This window comes from Homo sapiens, chromosome 20, assembly GCF_000001405.40.
Source record: "Homo sapiens chromosome 20, GRCh38.p14 Primary Assembly".
Classification (NCBI taxonomy): domain Eukaryota; kingdom Metazoa; phylum Chordata; class Mammalia; order Primates; family Hominidae; genus Homo; species Homo sapiens.
The window spans coordinates 18,281,292-18,298,226 of NC_000020.11; the positions used below are offsets into that span (position 1 = coordinate 18,281,292).

At 41.3% G+C, this 16,935-nt stretch overlaps 1 protein-coding gene and 1 pseudogene across 58 annotated transcripts in view, besides 4 other annotated features; one reads left to right on the forward strand and one right to left on the reverse strand.

Annotated features, from left to right (window-relative positions):
- Positions 6,809-6,858: an enhancer, noted in NCBI's record as "active region_17581". NCBI's record gives its function as "activates an Ori minimal core promoter by ATAC-STARR-seq in GM12878 lymphoblastoid cells {active_cell/tissue: GM12878}" and the evidence as "EXISTENCE:reporter gene assay evidence [ECO:0000049][PMID:35858748]".
- Positions 6,938-7,843: an enhancer, noted in NCBI's record as "H3K27ac hESC enhancer chr20:18268873-18269778 (GRCh37/hg19 assembly coordinates)". NCBI's record gives its function as "activates a minimal SCP1, AML or CMV promoter by ChIP-STARR-seq in primed H9 embryonic stem cells {active_cell/tissue: H9 hESC(primed)}" and the evidence as "EXISTENCE:reporter gene assay evidence [ECO:0000049][PMID:30033119]".
- Positions 6,949-7,288: an enhancer, noted in NCBI's record as "active region_17582". NCBI's record gives its function as "activates an Ori minimal core promoter by ATAC-STARR-seq in GM12878 lymphoblastoid cells {active_cell/tissue: GM12878}" and the evidence as "EXISTENCE:reporter gene assay evidence [ECO:0000049][PMID:35858748]".
- ZNF133 (zinc finger protein 133) overlaps positions 7,236-16,935 on the forward strand; it is a 28,470-nt gene continuing 18,770 nt past the window's right edge. For 23 of the 58 annotated variants that reach the window (NM_001352460.2, NM_001352462.2, NM_001352464.2 and 20 more), the window contains exons 1-2: positions 7,236-7,313; positions 16,694-16,771. Coding sequence is in view for 3 of the 58 variants with exons in the window: in NM_001282996.3 (NP_001269925.2) it covers positions 16,769-16,771 (3 nt within the window). In the remaining 55 variants the exon portion in view is untranslated. Of the gene's footprint in view, positions 7,314-8,607; positions 8,784-16,693; positions 16,772-16,935 lie in introns of all 58 variants that reach the window. The other 35 variants (NM_001387302.1, NM_001387311.1, NM_001282997.3 and 32 more) reach the window with 3 other exon arrangements.
- Positions 7,849-7,968: an enhancer, noted in NCBI's record as "active region_17583". NCBI's record gives its function as "activates an Ori minimal core promoter by ATAC-STARR-seq in GM12878 lymphoblastoid cells {active_cell/tissue: GM12878}" and the evidence as "EXISTENCE:reporter gene assay evidence [ECO:0000049][PMID:35858748]".
- RN7SKP74 (RN7SK pseudogene 74) lies at positions 13,922-14,160 on the reverse strand (annotated as a pseudogene).

The following is a 16,935-nucleotide window of genomic DNA, read 5'->3' on the forward strand; positions in this document are numbered from 1 at the left end:
ATAAAACACATTATCAAGTCAATTGTCAAATTAGAATACCGATGATAGGTTATTAAAAGTACTGCATCAGTGTTACATGTACTGCACCTGCAACTTTGTTACGTTTGAAATTATTTTCAAATAAAAGGTTTAAAATTTACAAAAAAGTATTTCTTTCTAAATTAAAAAAATAACCATTTCAATATATAAAAATAAAAATATATTTAAATATAAAAATAAACTACCCAAAGGCATGTTTCTTTAAACAGGTAAATCACGCTATCAGTAAAAAAAAAAAAGTGCAATAGAGCAGCCGGGTGCGGTGGCTCACACCTGTAATCCCAGCACTTTGGGAGGCTGAGCTGGGTCAATCACCTGAGGTCAGGAGTTTGAGACCAGCCTGGCCAACATGGTGAAACTCTGTCTCTACTAAAAACACACAAAAAAATTAGCCAGGCATGGTGGTAGGTGCCTGTAATCCCAGCTACTCGGGAGGCTGAGGCAGGAGAATTGCTTGAACCTGGGTGGCAGAGGTTGCAGTGAGCCGAGATTGTGCCATTGCACTCCAGCCTGGTCAATAAGAGCAAAACTCTGTCTCAAACAAAACAAAACAAAACAAAAAAACAAAAAAAAAAACTGCAATAGAGCTTGTGAGAAGCTGCCAGGAACAAGGTGAAATGGAACATACATTGGAGGAGAATAAGGAAGCAGCAATAATGAATCCTGGCCAACAGGTACTGAGCCCCAAATCGCTTCACAAGTATTATCACAGTTTCACTGCTTTCCAATGTATTCATTTATGCCTTTGTGTTTCTTTTTGCTATATTTTTTCAAGCTTGGGTTGAAGACTTTGTTTCCTTACCTCTTAAATTTTTTATTTCAATGATAAAGTCATTAAATACAATGGATTTGCTATGATCAGAATTTTGGTTTTCATACATAGTATTCTTGTTTTGTTTCTAATGTAAAACAAAAACTACCAAGGCTTAAGAAAAGAAGTGAAAAGGTTGAGTTACTACACACACCACTGAAAAAGTTTCACAAGTTGTTCACTGAGGGGGAAATTTCAGTGTTTTTAAATGTTAGGAGGTAGAGTTTCATTGTGGCTGTGTTCATTATGGATTAAAAACTAGCACTCTGGATAGGTCAGAATGAATCCATAGTACTGTTACATAATTGGTTTAAAAGGTTCTATTTTTCAGAGGTCAGGAAAAATTATTGAGTTACAGCCAAGTAGTTTTGCCCTACTAGGGTCACTCAAAGTTTAGAGTTCTTAACAGATATAGCTGAGGGGAGATGGCATTGCTTTATTATTTTCTAAGCAGGTGCTGCTGTAAATGGAATCTTTTCCTTTTACTGTCTCTTCTTTTGCTCTTTTCTTTGCCTAAAATGATTGGATGACCACACAAATATTAGCCAAGTTATCAGGTTTCCAGTTCTACATCTCCATGTTGTTTTTTGTATCATTCTCACATGATTTGTTTCTATCAGAGTCACTTCAATTTCTTTTTGATACAGAATCATCTGTGGTTAGAACTGATGAGTTGGTAGCTCTGCCAAAGTATTAATACCCTGTTAACAACATACTTGACAGCAGCAACAATTAGGAACAAAGACAAAAATAGTATAACTAAAATTTGCAGCGACTCCTTAAACCAACTTCCTACTTGGCCAAACCAAGCAATAAAGAAAATCCAACAGCTGAATGTATCCTTTCTGGGACAACAAATCGGCCTGTTTTCTGAACTTTATTATTCAGAAGCAGGTATTCAAATACAATCAGAAGTGACAGCCAGCACACAAATGCCACCTTGTTTGGTCCATAAATATCCCAAGGCAATGCCTTTGTATAACATCTTTGCAGCAAATGATGTAAAGCTCTTCTGCTGAGTTTGTATAGTAGACGCAGATTACACATGCAGTAATTGCCATTGTAAGGGACAGGCTTCAAGTGTATCTTACTAAATTCAGGCACTCAGAACCAAGAGAGAAACTCGCACACAAAACAATAAAAATCAGTATCTCCAACTACTCCTGAGAAGTCTGCACTTCAACAGGCACATTGATGAGAAAGAATTAAGTCATCTGAGATCTCACTAGGGAGTGTAGATACACTAAATCAAATATTGACATAAAACCATTTCTCAGGGGCAGACTCCTTCTTCTTTCCAACACTGACATTGTGTGGTAATCATACCTTGGCATGAATACCTCAAGCCAGGAAGGATATAACCAGAGTAAATTTGGTACATTCTTTAAGTGTATTTCTCAGATGGCAGGGGGCTGATGTAACAAAATATGCCTGCAGTTACAATTTAAAAGTGTACTTAATTCAACCAGCACAAGGACACCGACTAATTGAATATAAAGAGTATAATTAGTTATGTCCCATAATCATCAGAACAATGTCTTTACAGAAAAGGTAAAAGACCTTGTAGTTGAAATACTCATGTTGTATTTCCAAGAATAGTATTACCAATCACATATCTTAAAATTTTTTAACCCTTTAAACTAATTTTATTTTACTTCAAAACTGGTTACTGAATATCATTAACCTTTGAGGTATATTTCTGTGAGTTAAGCAGAAACATAAATTGACTTTTTAAATGGATGAACCTTATTAAACTTGCAGCTGATTTTTTTGTCAATATTCTAATAAAAGGAACCTCGCCAGCATTTCAGAGAAAGGGCTACAAACCCAACAACCAGTTAAAGTTCCTTATGTAACTATGGTCTTATTGATTATAACAAATTAGCTGCCTATGTGAGGATTTGTCCTAGATCTAGGATAGCCAGAGAAATAAATATAAATTTTGTGACTTACAGTAGTTATCAAATTAACGTGTTCTGCTGACCATGATGGAATAACTGGTATCAGATGATCATTCCCATTATAAATAACCATAACACTGGGGAAAGTATAAAGCAACTATTTTCAGGCCCTGGACTATAGGTTGCACAAAATTGTGATCCCTGAGAGATGGGAAATTCAGAAAATGAGTTCTACGTTTGCCCTGGCTAACTGCTTGGGGACAATTTCCTGACCATGATATGGGATGGTGGGGGAAAGACACACTAGTCTCACTGAGATGAGGAGGCAAAAAAGACTTTAGGGATGGTGAAGCAGATGACACTGGTAGGGTAGGTCTCAGAAAGGAGGCAGCTGTGCAAAGAGGGGAAAGCCCACCTCAGCTGAAGTTGAGCTTTGCTTGTGCAGGGTAAATATGCAATGATTACCAGAAAACAGCTGCTTGAGAGAAGAATGGAAATACTAGAAGTTTAGCAGGGCTGGCGAGTGTAGGCATTCCAGCCCAATCAGAATAAACAAACCTCATTAACACCTCAATCATTCAGCTGAGAAACCAGAGAGGCCATGCCATAAAATAAGGACCACATCTTATAGTAAGGTCTTCTCAAGATATGCTCTAACTGGAACTAAATTAAGGACGTAAAAATATCTGCATGGGTTAAAGAACTTGGAGTTTGAGTCCTGCAAGTTAGAGGAGCCTGGTAAACACTTTGACCTTTCAAAGATCTATCCTAACAAAGAATAAAATGAAGCCTGCACAAGTTCAAAACATTCATCCAGTAATTAAACTGCCTACAGGTAAAAAAAGCACTTTCAGACTAACGTAAGAGAATTTAGAATCATGCCACAAAAAATGTCCTGCATAAAAAAACTTTAAAATTACTAGACATGCAAAAAAACAGGAAGTGTGACCCACTGTTAAGAAAAAAAGGCAGTCACAGAAATAGATCCTGAGATGGTCCAGAGGTTTCAGCACACAGACTTTACAGAAACTAGCATAAACATATTAAAGAAAAATACACACATCACAAAGAAACAAATGGGGGTGGAAATCTCAGTGGAAATTATTTTAAAAAGAAACAAGTGGGAATTCTAGAACTAAAAATGTAACAAATAAAAATTTAAAATTTGCTAGATGGGCTTAAAAGATTGAAGATGGCAAAAGGAAGTTTCAGTGAACCTGAAGACAGGTCAATAGAAACCAATCTGGCAAACAGAAAAACATACTGAGGAAAATTGGATAGAGCTTCGGGAACAATATCAAATGGTCTAACATACGTGTAAGTGGAGACTCAAAAGGAGAAGAAATTGAGAAAGAATTATCCAAAATGAGAAGAAACTGAGAATTATTTAAAGATAATGATGGCTAAAGTTCCTAAATTTAATGAAAAACAATAGCTGACAGGTTAGAGAATCTCAATAAACCTCAAACTGGATTAATACCAAACAACAACAAATGATTTAGACACATGAATGTCAAACTGCTGAAAACCAAAGACAAAGCAAATTCTCAAGAGCGGTGTGTGTGCGTGCACACACACACACCCCTATCTACCCATTCTCAACTATACCAAAACAAACAAACAAACAAAAAAACCTGACCTTCCCTGGGGAAATATGAATAACCTGTCTTTATTTTCAAGTTCAAAAGGCAAAAGTCAGCTATATCTGGCAGCTGCTCCATGCACTGCCTTACCTGCATGAGGGATTTAAGCTGCTCAGTGGGTCAGATTTTAAGCTGGAAGAGAAGCCATTATCACCCAGTGAGACCAGATTGCTATAGTTTTCCAGCACCATCTCCCAGTATAGGTCCTTCTGAGCAGGACTCCACAGGCTTCATACCTCTTAGATGAAATCCACAGCCACAACCTTGAATATTATGAAAAACCATTATGCCAAACACAGCTCCGCTCACTCTGTTGACATGTGTGCCCATGTTGAAAACAAGGGAGCAAGAGGGCTGCCTTGGGGAAGATAGGTAAAATATCTAGGTCCTGCTTTTGACTGTAACTCTGGAGCTTGGATTCCAAGACCATTAACCCTATTCACTATCCAACCAGCATCACTTGCTGTGATCCTAGTCTGGCTATTATGGGCTTTACAAATGAAAACACAATTCCTAACCTTGAGGTGTTTTACATTTAATAGATAACATATTAAAAGAAAATATAAGTATAGAATCATGGTCTTTCTGAGATTTAGGAATTTGGAGATTCTTTAATCTAGCTGCTTATATTCAATTTAAAGATCTGAGCCCCTGATTGGTTTAAAGCCTTGTTACCCAGTCTGGTCTGAAGACAAGCAGTACCAGCATCATCTGGAAGCTTATTAGAAATGCTGATGCTTGGGCTCCATCAGGCATTCTGATTCAGAATTTGCTGCTTACAAGATCCCAAGTGACATGTATGCATGTTTTTGAGAGCGCTGGGTTAAATGATCTACCGAGGTATATGGTTCAGAAATAGCAACAACCAATAACTAAACTTCTGATTTTCCAAAACAAGATCTCTCTTCTACATTATTACACAACATCTTCCCTTCTCAAGAGGAAAACAGCTCTGTTATGAATAATGGATGCCCAGGCTCCACTGCAAACTCATTTCTTGGGGTGGTGTTCAGGCATTGTATTTTTAAAAGCTTCCAAGTACAGCCAGGGTTAGAAGAGTCTCAAGTAGTCACTATAGTATAGTGATCAGGGAAGGTTTCACGAAAGAGAGCTAGGTATTTGGTCTTGAAGGACCAGATGGATTCAGAGGAGCTAAGGGTATTCCAGATGAGGTATGGCATGGAGTGGGTGGGAAATGCCAGGAGAAAAAGAGGACATGGCAGCAAAGAGTGTTTTAGAAAGCAGGCAATCCAGATTTCTAGATGGAAACTCCTAATTATTAAATGCTGAGGTCTGTCAAAGATGAAACTGGAGGCTGGACACACCAAATATCTGTATGACAGAGCTGTACATCTAGACGGTGGACATCTAGCATCCCTGTCTATATGCAAGTCAGCTGGCTGCAAGACCACGTGCTGCTGAAAATCTCACTGTGGTCATGACAGTCCACCCAGTGGCTCAGACCCTGAGATTCTGTTCACACTTCCTACACTCTTCCTTACTCGTCTGTGTTCTTCCAACTCCTCATCTTGCCTAATTCCTCAGGCAGCACCTCATCCTGTAAGTCTTCATTTCCAGGCTTAAGAGATGTCAGCCATCTGTGTCTTTATTGTACAGCCAGCACAAGTGAACACTTGAACACAGGCATCCCTGCATTGTTGTTCTGAACCTTTATGTGTATTAACAACTAATTTCTTGGTGATGACTGACTCATGAGGCAGAGAATGATGTTGAGGGATGAATCCAATTGACACTGGACATGTCTCCGGAGCCAGGACTGAACTGAATTCACAATAAATAATGTAGCCTCGGGGTACCAGAAGGGAATGGATTCACCCTCTGAGAGCTACAAAAGAATTTTAGGAAATTCTCATCTCCCTGGCCCTTCAGACAGTGGTCATTTTCTTGGTCTTCCAAGAGAATGACAAAGTTTCAGAAAGCCTATCTGAGGAAGGTGAAGGGCAGTGAGAGGGTGCACGGGTGGAAAAGCCCTCTCAAGAGTGACGTGGGCCTTCCCCTCGAGCTCCCCAGATGGGGCGTCCCAGATGGCACCAGCGCAATCTTGTTCTCAACCAGGATCCCGGACAAAGACCTAGAGATCCAAGCCGACGGCAGGCCAAGCTCTGGCCCGAGACTGAGGCTTCTGCTTCTCAGGAGATGAGAGTTTAACAATAACTTCGTGGATTTCAAAAAGAAGAAAAAGGTCTCAGGGCACCGGAAAAGGTGTATTCGGGTTGAGGGCGTGGGCTCAGAATCGGGTCTACCTCGTACGGGATGTGAGACTTCAGGCAGACTGCTCGGCCTTTTCAAGGCTTTAAATGGAGCTAAAGGGTATACGACATGACGTTCGCCCGGTGTTTAGGAATATGGGGCGTGACTTTCCAAGCAGGCGGCTGGAGCCAGGGAGACCACAGGCCGCTGCAACACAAACCAGCACCTGAACAAGCTTGGTCAGCCAGCGGTACACCTCCGCCAACCCCAGAAGCCGAACAGATGCGCCCCGAAACGTCATTTCCGCGCGCCAAGGGGCGGGGCCGGTACCGGGTGCGGAAGTCGCTCCAGGGGTCACTGGGAAGTGTAGTTTTCGAGACAGAGGCGCTCAGAAGGAGGGTCACAGTAGGGCCAGGCACTCTTCTCGGGAGCTCCTACGTGTTTTATGCACGTGGTTAAGAAAAAAGAGGGAGAATTCAGGTGCCACAGTGGCCATTCTCCGGTGACCGGAGCGTGTTACTCAGAAACGGATCCGTCAGAGGCCAATGGGAGCTGCCGGCCTTCAGGGCGCGCCTGGTGGCGCCGAGCATCCTGGGAGGTGTGGTCCGGGCGCTGTGCCGAGGATTCGGGGTAGTGTAGTCCTGGCGCCCCGCTGGAGGAGCTCCCCAGCTGGTGGCTGGAGCGACCCCTTGTTCTTTGGTGGCGCTGGTGAGTGAGGCTCCCGCGGGACCCTTGCCGCAGCCGTACCCTTTTCTGCGCGAAAAGGAAGGTCCCGAAAGGCTGGACTATGGGCTGAATTTGGGGACCGTGCGGGTGGCGCGGGGGTGGTGATTGTGGTGGGAACGCGCTGGCGTGGCGCAGGCCGTCCTCTCCCAGATGTCTTATTTTGGGGGTGTGGGCGTGCATCTCCAGGGGAGTTGGGTGAAGCCCATCCGTGAAACTGGATGGTGATGAGTGGGGGATCGGGCTCTCTCTCCTAGGGTTCTTGTGGGTGGGGACAGGTTCGGCTTTGGCTGAAGTCGGGTATTGGGAAAGGGAGTCGCTGATGCCATAAGTCCCCGGTTTTGGGGGAGTTGAATAAATAAGCTTTTTGGGGGAATGGTATTTCCCAGGTGGTGGAATGGGAACCATCCCTGGGGCCATGTGTCCCCGAGGCATTGGTCGGTTGAGGGCTAGTCTCTTGGGGCCACACTATTCTTCGGCTTTGCTGGAGTGGAATGAGGAGCGGTCTGGCTTGACCAAACAAGCCAAGGTTAGACTGGATCTGGGGTGGCCATTTTGCCGCGATCTTAGGGTTTCACTTTGGTTGGTCACCCCCGGGTTCGGGCGTTGGAGGAGGAAGTCTGGCTGGGACGCACAGGACAGGTTTTTTCCAAAGGTCCCAGGGACCGTCATTGATCGCAAGAATTACGGATTCCCAGGCCCCTGGTGTGGCCAGGCTTTGGGATTTTACATTCCATTTAAGTTTTTATTGCGGAGAAATTTCAAACAGCCAGAAGTAGATAGAACTCTATAGACCAGATCTCCATCACCCAGATTCAACACTTAAAACCTTATGACCAATCTTGATTCATCTCAGAATGGACACAGAGAATCCTTGCAATCCAGAGTTCACCGTCACTGCCCTTACTGTGTAAGAGCACGGTCTCCACAGCCACATTTCCTCTAGGCTCTGTCACTTTATAGCTGTGTCACCTTGGGCAAGATGCTGACTTCACTGTACCTCAGTTTCCTCGATTTTATCCTAAAGAGGATAATAGCATCTATCGTATTGGGTTGTTGAAAGGATAGAATGAGGTGAAACTCCTACAGTGGCTGTAACAGTCTCTGGTGTATACTAAGTGTTCAGTGAATATTACCTTTCATTAATAACAGGCACAGAGAAGGTCGCTTCATGCTCAGCGTCAACAGCATATCAGGGCAGGTCGTGCTTTCAACCTGTACCCCAGCTGTGTTCCCAGGAAGCTGCCCGCAGTTCTTTTCTCCTTTTCTTCTGTGGCAGGTTCATTCCTGATGCTGTTAAGGAATAGGAGGTACTGCCCTGCTGGAGAGGATTTCCCTTGATTTTCTTGAACGCTTTTTGTTCTTGTTCTGCCTCCCTGTGGCTCCTGTCTGCCCAGAGAGGACTGCCTGCTGGGGAAAGGGGGTACTCCTGAGCTCCTGACAGCCCAGCTTCAGGTGGGTGCCACTTACCTTTTGCATTTCGAACCATGAGTGGGTTTCTTTTGCTCAGCTTTGACGTCTGTGTTCTACAATGTCCCATCCAGGGATCAGGGCCCCAGCTGGTTCCTTCAGGAAACTAGGCTTGTTTTAAGAGTGATCATTTTCACAGGGAATATTTTTCAGAGCTGATGCTCTCATTCATTACACCTATATTCTTCCCCTACATTCCTTCTTTCAGTATTTGTTCAGACTGCTCATTCCCAGGGCTTGTCAGGTCCTGTGAAGTTGTTAACATTCTGTTCTTCTGTCTTCCAATACTCTCACTTACTCTTTTCCCTGCTAGAGTTTTGGCAGCAAATCCCAGTTATATCATTTCACCTGGGAACACTTCAGGAGGCATCTCTAACACATAAGGACTTCTTTTTTTAACATAACCACAATTTCATTGTTATACAGTTACATTGTTACAATTATATTTTGTTATACCCAACAAAATTAATAACTTATTAATATCATTTAATATCTAGCCCATATTGTTTTCCCCCATTGTTAAAAAAAAAATCTTTTTTTTCCACCAGTCAGAACAGCCCTGGTCAGAGGCAGGAGAGGGAAAAGTATCTGGAAACAGCATCCCAGTTTTCCCTATCTCTGCCTCATTTCTCCTCCTATTTCTTCTGATCTTGCTGATCTGTGTTGACAGCCTTATAACTTGATATAAGCTGGACCTCTGAGTTTTCCTTGCATCCTTGTTTCCAAACTTACTTCCCATTAGAAGTTGTGTCCTCCTGGCCGGGCACAGTGGCTCACACCTGTAATCAGCACTTTGGGGGGCCAGAGCGGGCAGATCACCTGAGGTCAGGAGTTCGAGACCAGCCTGGCCAACATGGTGAAACCCCATCTCTACTAAAAATACAAAAATTAGCCAGGCGTGGTGGCACACACCAATAATCCCAGCTATTCAGGAGGCTGAGGCAGGAGAATCTGTCGCCTGGGCAACAGAGCAAGACTCCACCTCAAAACAAAACAAAAGTTGTATCCTCCTATTCCACCTGTGCATTCTTCTCGATTCCTTTTCTTTCCCTTTGTCTCCATTTCTGCACTGCCCTAGCTTCCTGTCTCTTCTTCACCTTCTTGCCTTGTCTTTCCTCCCATTTAGAGCTGAACTCCTTGAAAGAATTATCTATGTTTGTTGTCTGCGTTGCTATCCTTCTGTTATGTTTCGAATATTTTAGTAAGGCTTTTTCAAGTGACACCAAAAAATATTCTTGTCAGGGTTACCAATGGTCTCCTTGACTAAAGGCCACAATCAGTTCTCAGCAACATTTGATGTAATTGTTTACATCCTCCTTCTTAATATATCCTTTCACACAGTTGCTCTTGGTACTAGGTCTTCCTGGTTTTCCTCCTAACTCATAGCCTGCTCCTCCTCTGTCTCCTTTACTGGCTCTTCCTTCCCTCCCAAATTTCCACCGTGGAAAAGGCCCTGCTTCAGTTCTTAGACCTCCTGTCTTCTTCAGCTATACTGTCTCCTTGGTTCTCCCGTTCATTCTCAAGGCTTTAAATGCCATCTGTCTGAGGCTCAGCCTAGAGCTCTGTGTGCAACTCACATCCTGGTCCCCTACTGTCTCCTTCTTCACATTTCCAGTTGGATTTTTTTTTTTTTTTTTAGTGAGACAGGAGTCTCGCTCTATCGCCCAGGCTGGAGTGCAGTGGCACAATCTCGGCTTACTGCAACCTCCACTGCCCATCTTCAAGTGATTCTCATGCCTCAGCCTCCTGAGTATCTGGTCTACAGGTGTGTGCCACCCCACTTGGATATCTTATGGGCATCCCAAAACTAATGTGTGCAACAAGAAACTCTGATTACCTTCCCTGAACATGTTCCACCCCAGTGGTATATAGACCATCCTTTCAAGAGTTTATCTTGGAGCAGAAGCATTTCAGCTCTTTCCTTCAGATTGCTTGGAGTCATCAAGGAGTCATCCTTGATCCTGTCTTGCTCTTATACCCTCATCCACACTACGGAAATCTGGACTCCGACAGTTTCCATGCCCTGCTGTTTCCACCATGGTCCAGGCCACCGTCTCATCTGGACGATCATAGCCTTTCAGTGATCTCTTTGTTTCTGCCTATGTCCCGCTAAGGTACATGAATCAGTGGAGCAAATAGAAGGAGATTTTAAATGTAAATCGAATCATGTCATGTGTTTGCTCAAAATCTTCCAGTGGCTTCTCATCCTAACCAAAGTCAAAACCAGTATCCTACAAAGCTAGGTCTGATGTCCCTACATTTACTCTTGGCCTTCATCTGTACCACACTATCTCAGTCACTCCACACCAGCCACAGTGAACTGTCCGTCCCTTGGCCATGCCAGCCTGATTCTTCCTTGCATCAGGGCCTTTGCACTGACTGTTCTCTTGCCCTAGATGTTCTTTTCAAAGTTATTCCCTGGGCTCTTCACATCCTTGAGATTTTTACTCAGTCACCTCAGAGATGCCTTCCCAAATCACCCTATCTAAAATTCTAAAACCTCACCCCACTTCTGTGACTATCCTTTCTCCTTCCCTGCTTTATTTCTCTTCATGCCACTCATCACTTTCTGATACAGTGTGTATTTTATTTATTCATGTAATTGGCCCATCTTTCTCCTCTAGACTTTCATGTCAGTGAGGGTAGATTTTTGTCTTTGTTCACTTCTGTATCCCCAGGGTTTAAAATAGTGCCTATCACACAGTAGGAGCATAATAAATACTTGCCAAATGAAGGCATAATCCATAGGAGTAATGGATGAGGCAGACTAGGATGTTGGGAAATGGTCTACAGAGACTGGCAGGAGGCTTTTGCCATTGTCCTGGTGCTCCAACTGGTGTAGGGGTGGGGAGGAATTGAGAGAGTTGGCAGAGGTGGAATCCATTTGCCTTGATAATTGGTTTGATATGGAAGGTAGAGAGAAGTAGTCATGGGACTGAGTAAGTGCCATGGATGACAGGAAGATGCTTCTGTTATCAGGTAAGCTGAAAGAGAGAGGGCGCAGTATGTCAATAACCAGCAAGGGTTCTGGTTATTGACTGCTACACAACAAACCACTCTAAAACTGAGTGGCTTAGGAGAGCAACTATGTTTTAATCTCCCACAGTTCTTTGGGTTTACCCAAAGCGGATGTGATCAGCTGAGATGTGAGTGATGCATCTTGCTATGGCTGCAGTCATTTGGGGACTCATTTGGGTTGGAACATGCAAGATGGTTCCGTCACACATTTGACATATTTTCGTGGGTTCCATCACATATTTTCGTGGGTTGGCTGGAAGGCTGGGGTCAGCTGGGACAGCAGGCCTCACTCTCTCCAGGTAGTGTAAGGGCTTCCAGCAGGATTGAACTCGTTACGTGGTACGTTAGAGCTCCCAAGAGTGAAAGCTGTCTGGCCTTCTTAGGACTTAAGCCTGTAACTGGCACAGTGTCACTTGTGTCAAATTTATTGGTTAAAGCAGGAACAAGGCCAAAATGGAAGAGCTCCCAATGTTTAAAGCTGGAATAATTATAACAGCAATATAAACAGTGATACTATTGTGTTATAACCCATAGGATAAGATATAAATCCATACTGATATAAATAAATAACTGAATATAAATAAATGGGGAGACAGAACAGCTCTGACAGAGGAATTCTAATTAATGGATTTAGAATGAAAGGGGGAAAAAGCTGGAATAATTTTAACAGCAAAATAAACAGTGATACTATTGTATTATAACCCATAGGATAAGATATAAATCCATATTGATATAAGTAAATAACTGGATACAAATAAATGGGGAGACAGAACAGCTTTGACAGAAGAATTCTAATTAATGGATTTAGAATGAAAGGGGGAAAAAGAACTTTGTCATTTGGTAAACAGCACAGTAATAACTATTGCAGATAGGTTCCACAGATATATGCTAAAATTAGTGGCTGAAAGTTTGAAGAGAAATAGGATATTTGTATAATCTCAAAGTATCTCCCTCAAGATATTTATTAATTATAAAGGGAAATGTAGTGACTTTACAATGGAGAAGCTCAGAAGACACCCCCTTAACCAAGTGATCAAGATCAAGGTTAATATCGCCAGTAAAAAGACATAACAATATCATGAACTCATTGATATGTTGAAGGACACAGCATCACATCTGAGGTATTCTAACCAGAAGTGAAAAACTCGTTCTAATCATGAAAAAACATCGGACAAACCAAAACTGAGGGATACCCTTCAAAAGCGCCAAGTTCGTGAAAGATGAGAAAAGACAGAGGATCTGTCACAGATTGGAGGAGGTTAAAGATCCATGACAACTAAAGGCAATGTGGAAACCTCAGTTGGATCCTGGACCAGAAAAAGTACATTGGTGGAAAAACTGGCAAAATTTAATTAAAGTCTGTAGTTTATAGTATTGTGTCAATGTTAATTTCCTGCTTTTGATGATTGTACTATCATTTTCTAAGATGTTAACATTAGAGAAAGCTGGGTGGAAGGTATGGGAATTGATATTTGTGCAACTTCCTTGTAAGTCTAAAATTTGTTACAAAATAAAAAGTTTTAAAAATCCATCAATTCTATATTCTTGAGTTTTTGTTTTGTTTTTTGAAGAAGGGGTGTTGAGTTTTGGTAAAGAGTATCTTACATGTAGAGAGGCAATCATGACTTCTCCTTACATCTATTATTGTGGTGTATTATAATAAAAGATCCCCTAAAATTGAACCAGTCTTGCAATCCTGGGTAAATTTTTCTTTGCCATGGTGAAATATTTTGTTATTGCGATGTTGGAGTCTTTTTGCTAACATTTTAATTCGAATTTTGCTTCAATATTTGTAAGTGACAATTAGTCTATAATTTTCTGTTTTTGAACTGTCATCAAGTTAAGGTCCTCATGGTATCCTTGCTTTATAAAATGAATGAGAACTTTTCCCTTTAGTTTTCAATGCTTTGGGACAGTATTTGGAGCATAAGGACTACCTGGTTTGAAGGTTTGATAGAATTTCCTTGTGACCATCTGGAGTTAATTTTGAGAGTTATTCACTTCATCTAGGTCTACACGTTTATTTATATAAAGGTCTGCAAAGTAGTCTTACATGACTTTTAAGAAGATGTTTTTTGGTGACTTTGCCTTTCTTATTTCTTATTTTGAGAGCTTGTTGGGAGGTTCTAGCAGGGGAGCACAGCTACTCGTATACCCTTGACCGAAGACTGGTCCTCCCCTATGTGGGATGGTCATCCTCCTTGACTGAGTGTGCAGCTTCCGGAGGGATGCACATGGAGCAATGAGGGAGGAAGAGGATACCCACCTAGCCAGCCAGATCAGCTGGATCAACACTGGTGATCAATGTGGTGACAGATGTCGCATCCAGATCGCCCTCACATCCATGTCACTTCTTAGTTGAATATTTATGCTTTCTCTCTTTCAGTTAGCTAGTGTTTGTCTACTTTTTTTGACAAAGTAGGATTTGGCTCATTAGATCTACTGCTTTCTGTTCATTAATTTATGCTTTCATCTTTATTAATTCCTGTCTTTGTGCTTTCTTTTGGGTTACTTTATTTTATTAGCTTTTTGAGCTTGGAATTTAATTAATTAATTTATTTATTTTTTGAGGCAGGGTCTCACTCTCTCACCTAGACTGGAGTGCAGTGATGCAGTCAGGCTCGCTGCAGCCTCAACCTCCCAGGTTCAAGTGATGCTCCCTCCTCAGCCTCCTGAGTAGCTGGGACCATACGGGTGTGTGTATGCACCAAATCTGGCTATTTTTTAAAATTTTTTTGTAGAGATGAGGTCTCACCATGTTGCCCAGGCTGGATTTTTTTCTTTCCTTTTTATTTGTAAAAGTACTTAAGGCTATAGTTTCCCTTACCTCACTGTGTTAAATAAATCCTGTATATACGTAGTGTTTTTTATTACTGTTATTTTTAAGTAGTTCTATAATTTCATTTTGTGTATTCCCTTTAATTCCTGCCTATTGCCTATGATATGATCAGCAACCTTTTTCTACTTTCTTCTTCTCCTGTGTCTTCTATTTGAGTGGCATTTCTACCTTATCAGGACACAATGCCCTATAACATTAGCACATGTTTTCCTCCTCTTTCTTCTCCCCCTTTTAGTTCTAAGTTTACAATTATGTATATTAAATGCTCATCATCAGTCTTTTTGCTAAATTTCCCCTATCCTGTCTTGCTTTGAATGATGATTTTTGGCCAGACCTTTTTTTTTGGTGGTAAATATGCATAACATAAAATTTACCATTTTAACATGTTTGAGTCAATGGCATGAAGTACATTCATATTGTTGTACAACCATCACCACTATCTATCTCCAGAAATATTTTCATCTTCCCAAACTGAAACTCCATACCCGTTAAACAATACCTCCCTATTCTCCCTTACCCCAACCACCTCTCCTCAACCACCATTTGACTATTCTAGGTACCTCATATAAATGGAATCTTACTGTCCTTTTACTTCTGGCTTATTTCACTTAGCACAATGTCTTCTAGGTTCATGTTGTAGCATGTGTCAATTTCCTTCCATTTTAAGTCTGAATACTATTCCATTGTATGTACGTATCACTTTGTTATTCATTCATCCATTGTAAGCAACGCTTGGGTTGCTTACACCTTTTGGCTATTGTGAACAATGCTGGTATGAACATGAGCGCACAAGTATCTGTTCGAGTTCTTCCCTTCAGTTCTTTTGCGTATATAGCCAGAAGTCGAATTGGTGAATCACATAATAATTGTATTTTAAATTTTTTGAGAAACCACCATACTGGTTTGAGGGTATACCACATTTTACATTCCCACCAGCAGTATGCAGTGGTTGAATGATAATTTCAAAAACTCTGGTAGAACTCATGTTTTTTGTTTAGAGTCACTTTGGATTCCTGTTGTTGTTCTTTAAAGTCTAATAGTTTTTCTAGTGCATGTCTTAGAGTTGGTGGTTATGAGTCAACTTTTCCCTCATATCCCATAGGCCCTTTCATATTTAGATTCAGGTAATTGTTTTTAAAATGTTTTCTTACATTATACTTTTAAATATTTCCGTTGTTTTGGTATCTAGGAACTAATTATATGAATATTACTTCTTTGTCTGTTTTCCTTTCCAGCTTCTTTCTCTCTGATCCTTTTTACTTCTTATTTCACTTCATTCTCTTGTTTTCTGGCTATTACTAAGTGCTCGTCATGTTTTCATTTCAATCTATTCCTCCTTGAGTGTCTTATAAGTTTGTCTTCATTTATCATATAATATTGTCTTTTTCTTTGATTTCTTTCAAAAGTTTGTTGAAATCTTTTTGTTTCTTTACTTTTTTTGTCCATTTCTATTCTTAGTTTTTGAATTTTTAATTTATGATCTCATATTTGGGGTATATCTCATATCCCAAAATGTTTGTTTGAAGATATTTAATGTAGCTTAATGTTACGGTTTTTTAAATTTTTTTTCTGTCTCACCATTTTTTTTTTGGTGGAATTTTCTTTAGTTGAATTGTTTGGATTCTCATTTTCATTTTTTTTAATAGACTACAACTGTTTGCGTGTCTGCATTTCTGTAAACAGAACTGTCAGATTCTAGTGTTTTTGAGATTTCCCTAGTTCAGGAAAATGCTTCTGGCAGTGTAGCAAAGTACAGTTTCTTTACTGGATTGCAGGGGAAGGAGAGGTGGTGCATCCTTTGGGGTTTCTTTGTTGTTGTTTTTTGTTTTTCTCTTTTGTTTTGGAAGACCCTGGATTACTCTCTCTTGCTTGTTTTTCCTTTTCCTTTGCTGTTTCCAAGCAGTATCTTTTCCTTGCTTTATACTTTCCCCATTATGCCACTGCGCCCCCAGTTGTGGGGTTAAAGAGCAGGCCCTGCTTCACTCATGGGGAGAGCATTTCTACCTGACACCCTCCCATTTCTGTTTTCCTTACCCAGATCTACCTTCTGAGATATCATCCTTCTTCAGGGAGATAAGGAAAAAAAGCCACAGGGTCCCGGAGAGCCAGGGGAATGGTGAGTGTTTCCTGTCTCCATTACTGGCTGTAACAGGATGGACACATTCCCTTCTCTTACCCTGACTGCCTTATTGGTGCCTAGTAGAGTTCAGCTCCAATTCCTCTTACTTGCTCCCCTGCCTCAGCATCACTTTCTGCAAAACCCATGACACAGTTATTCAC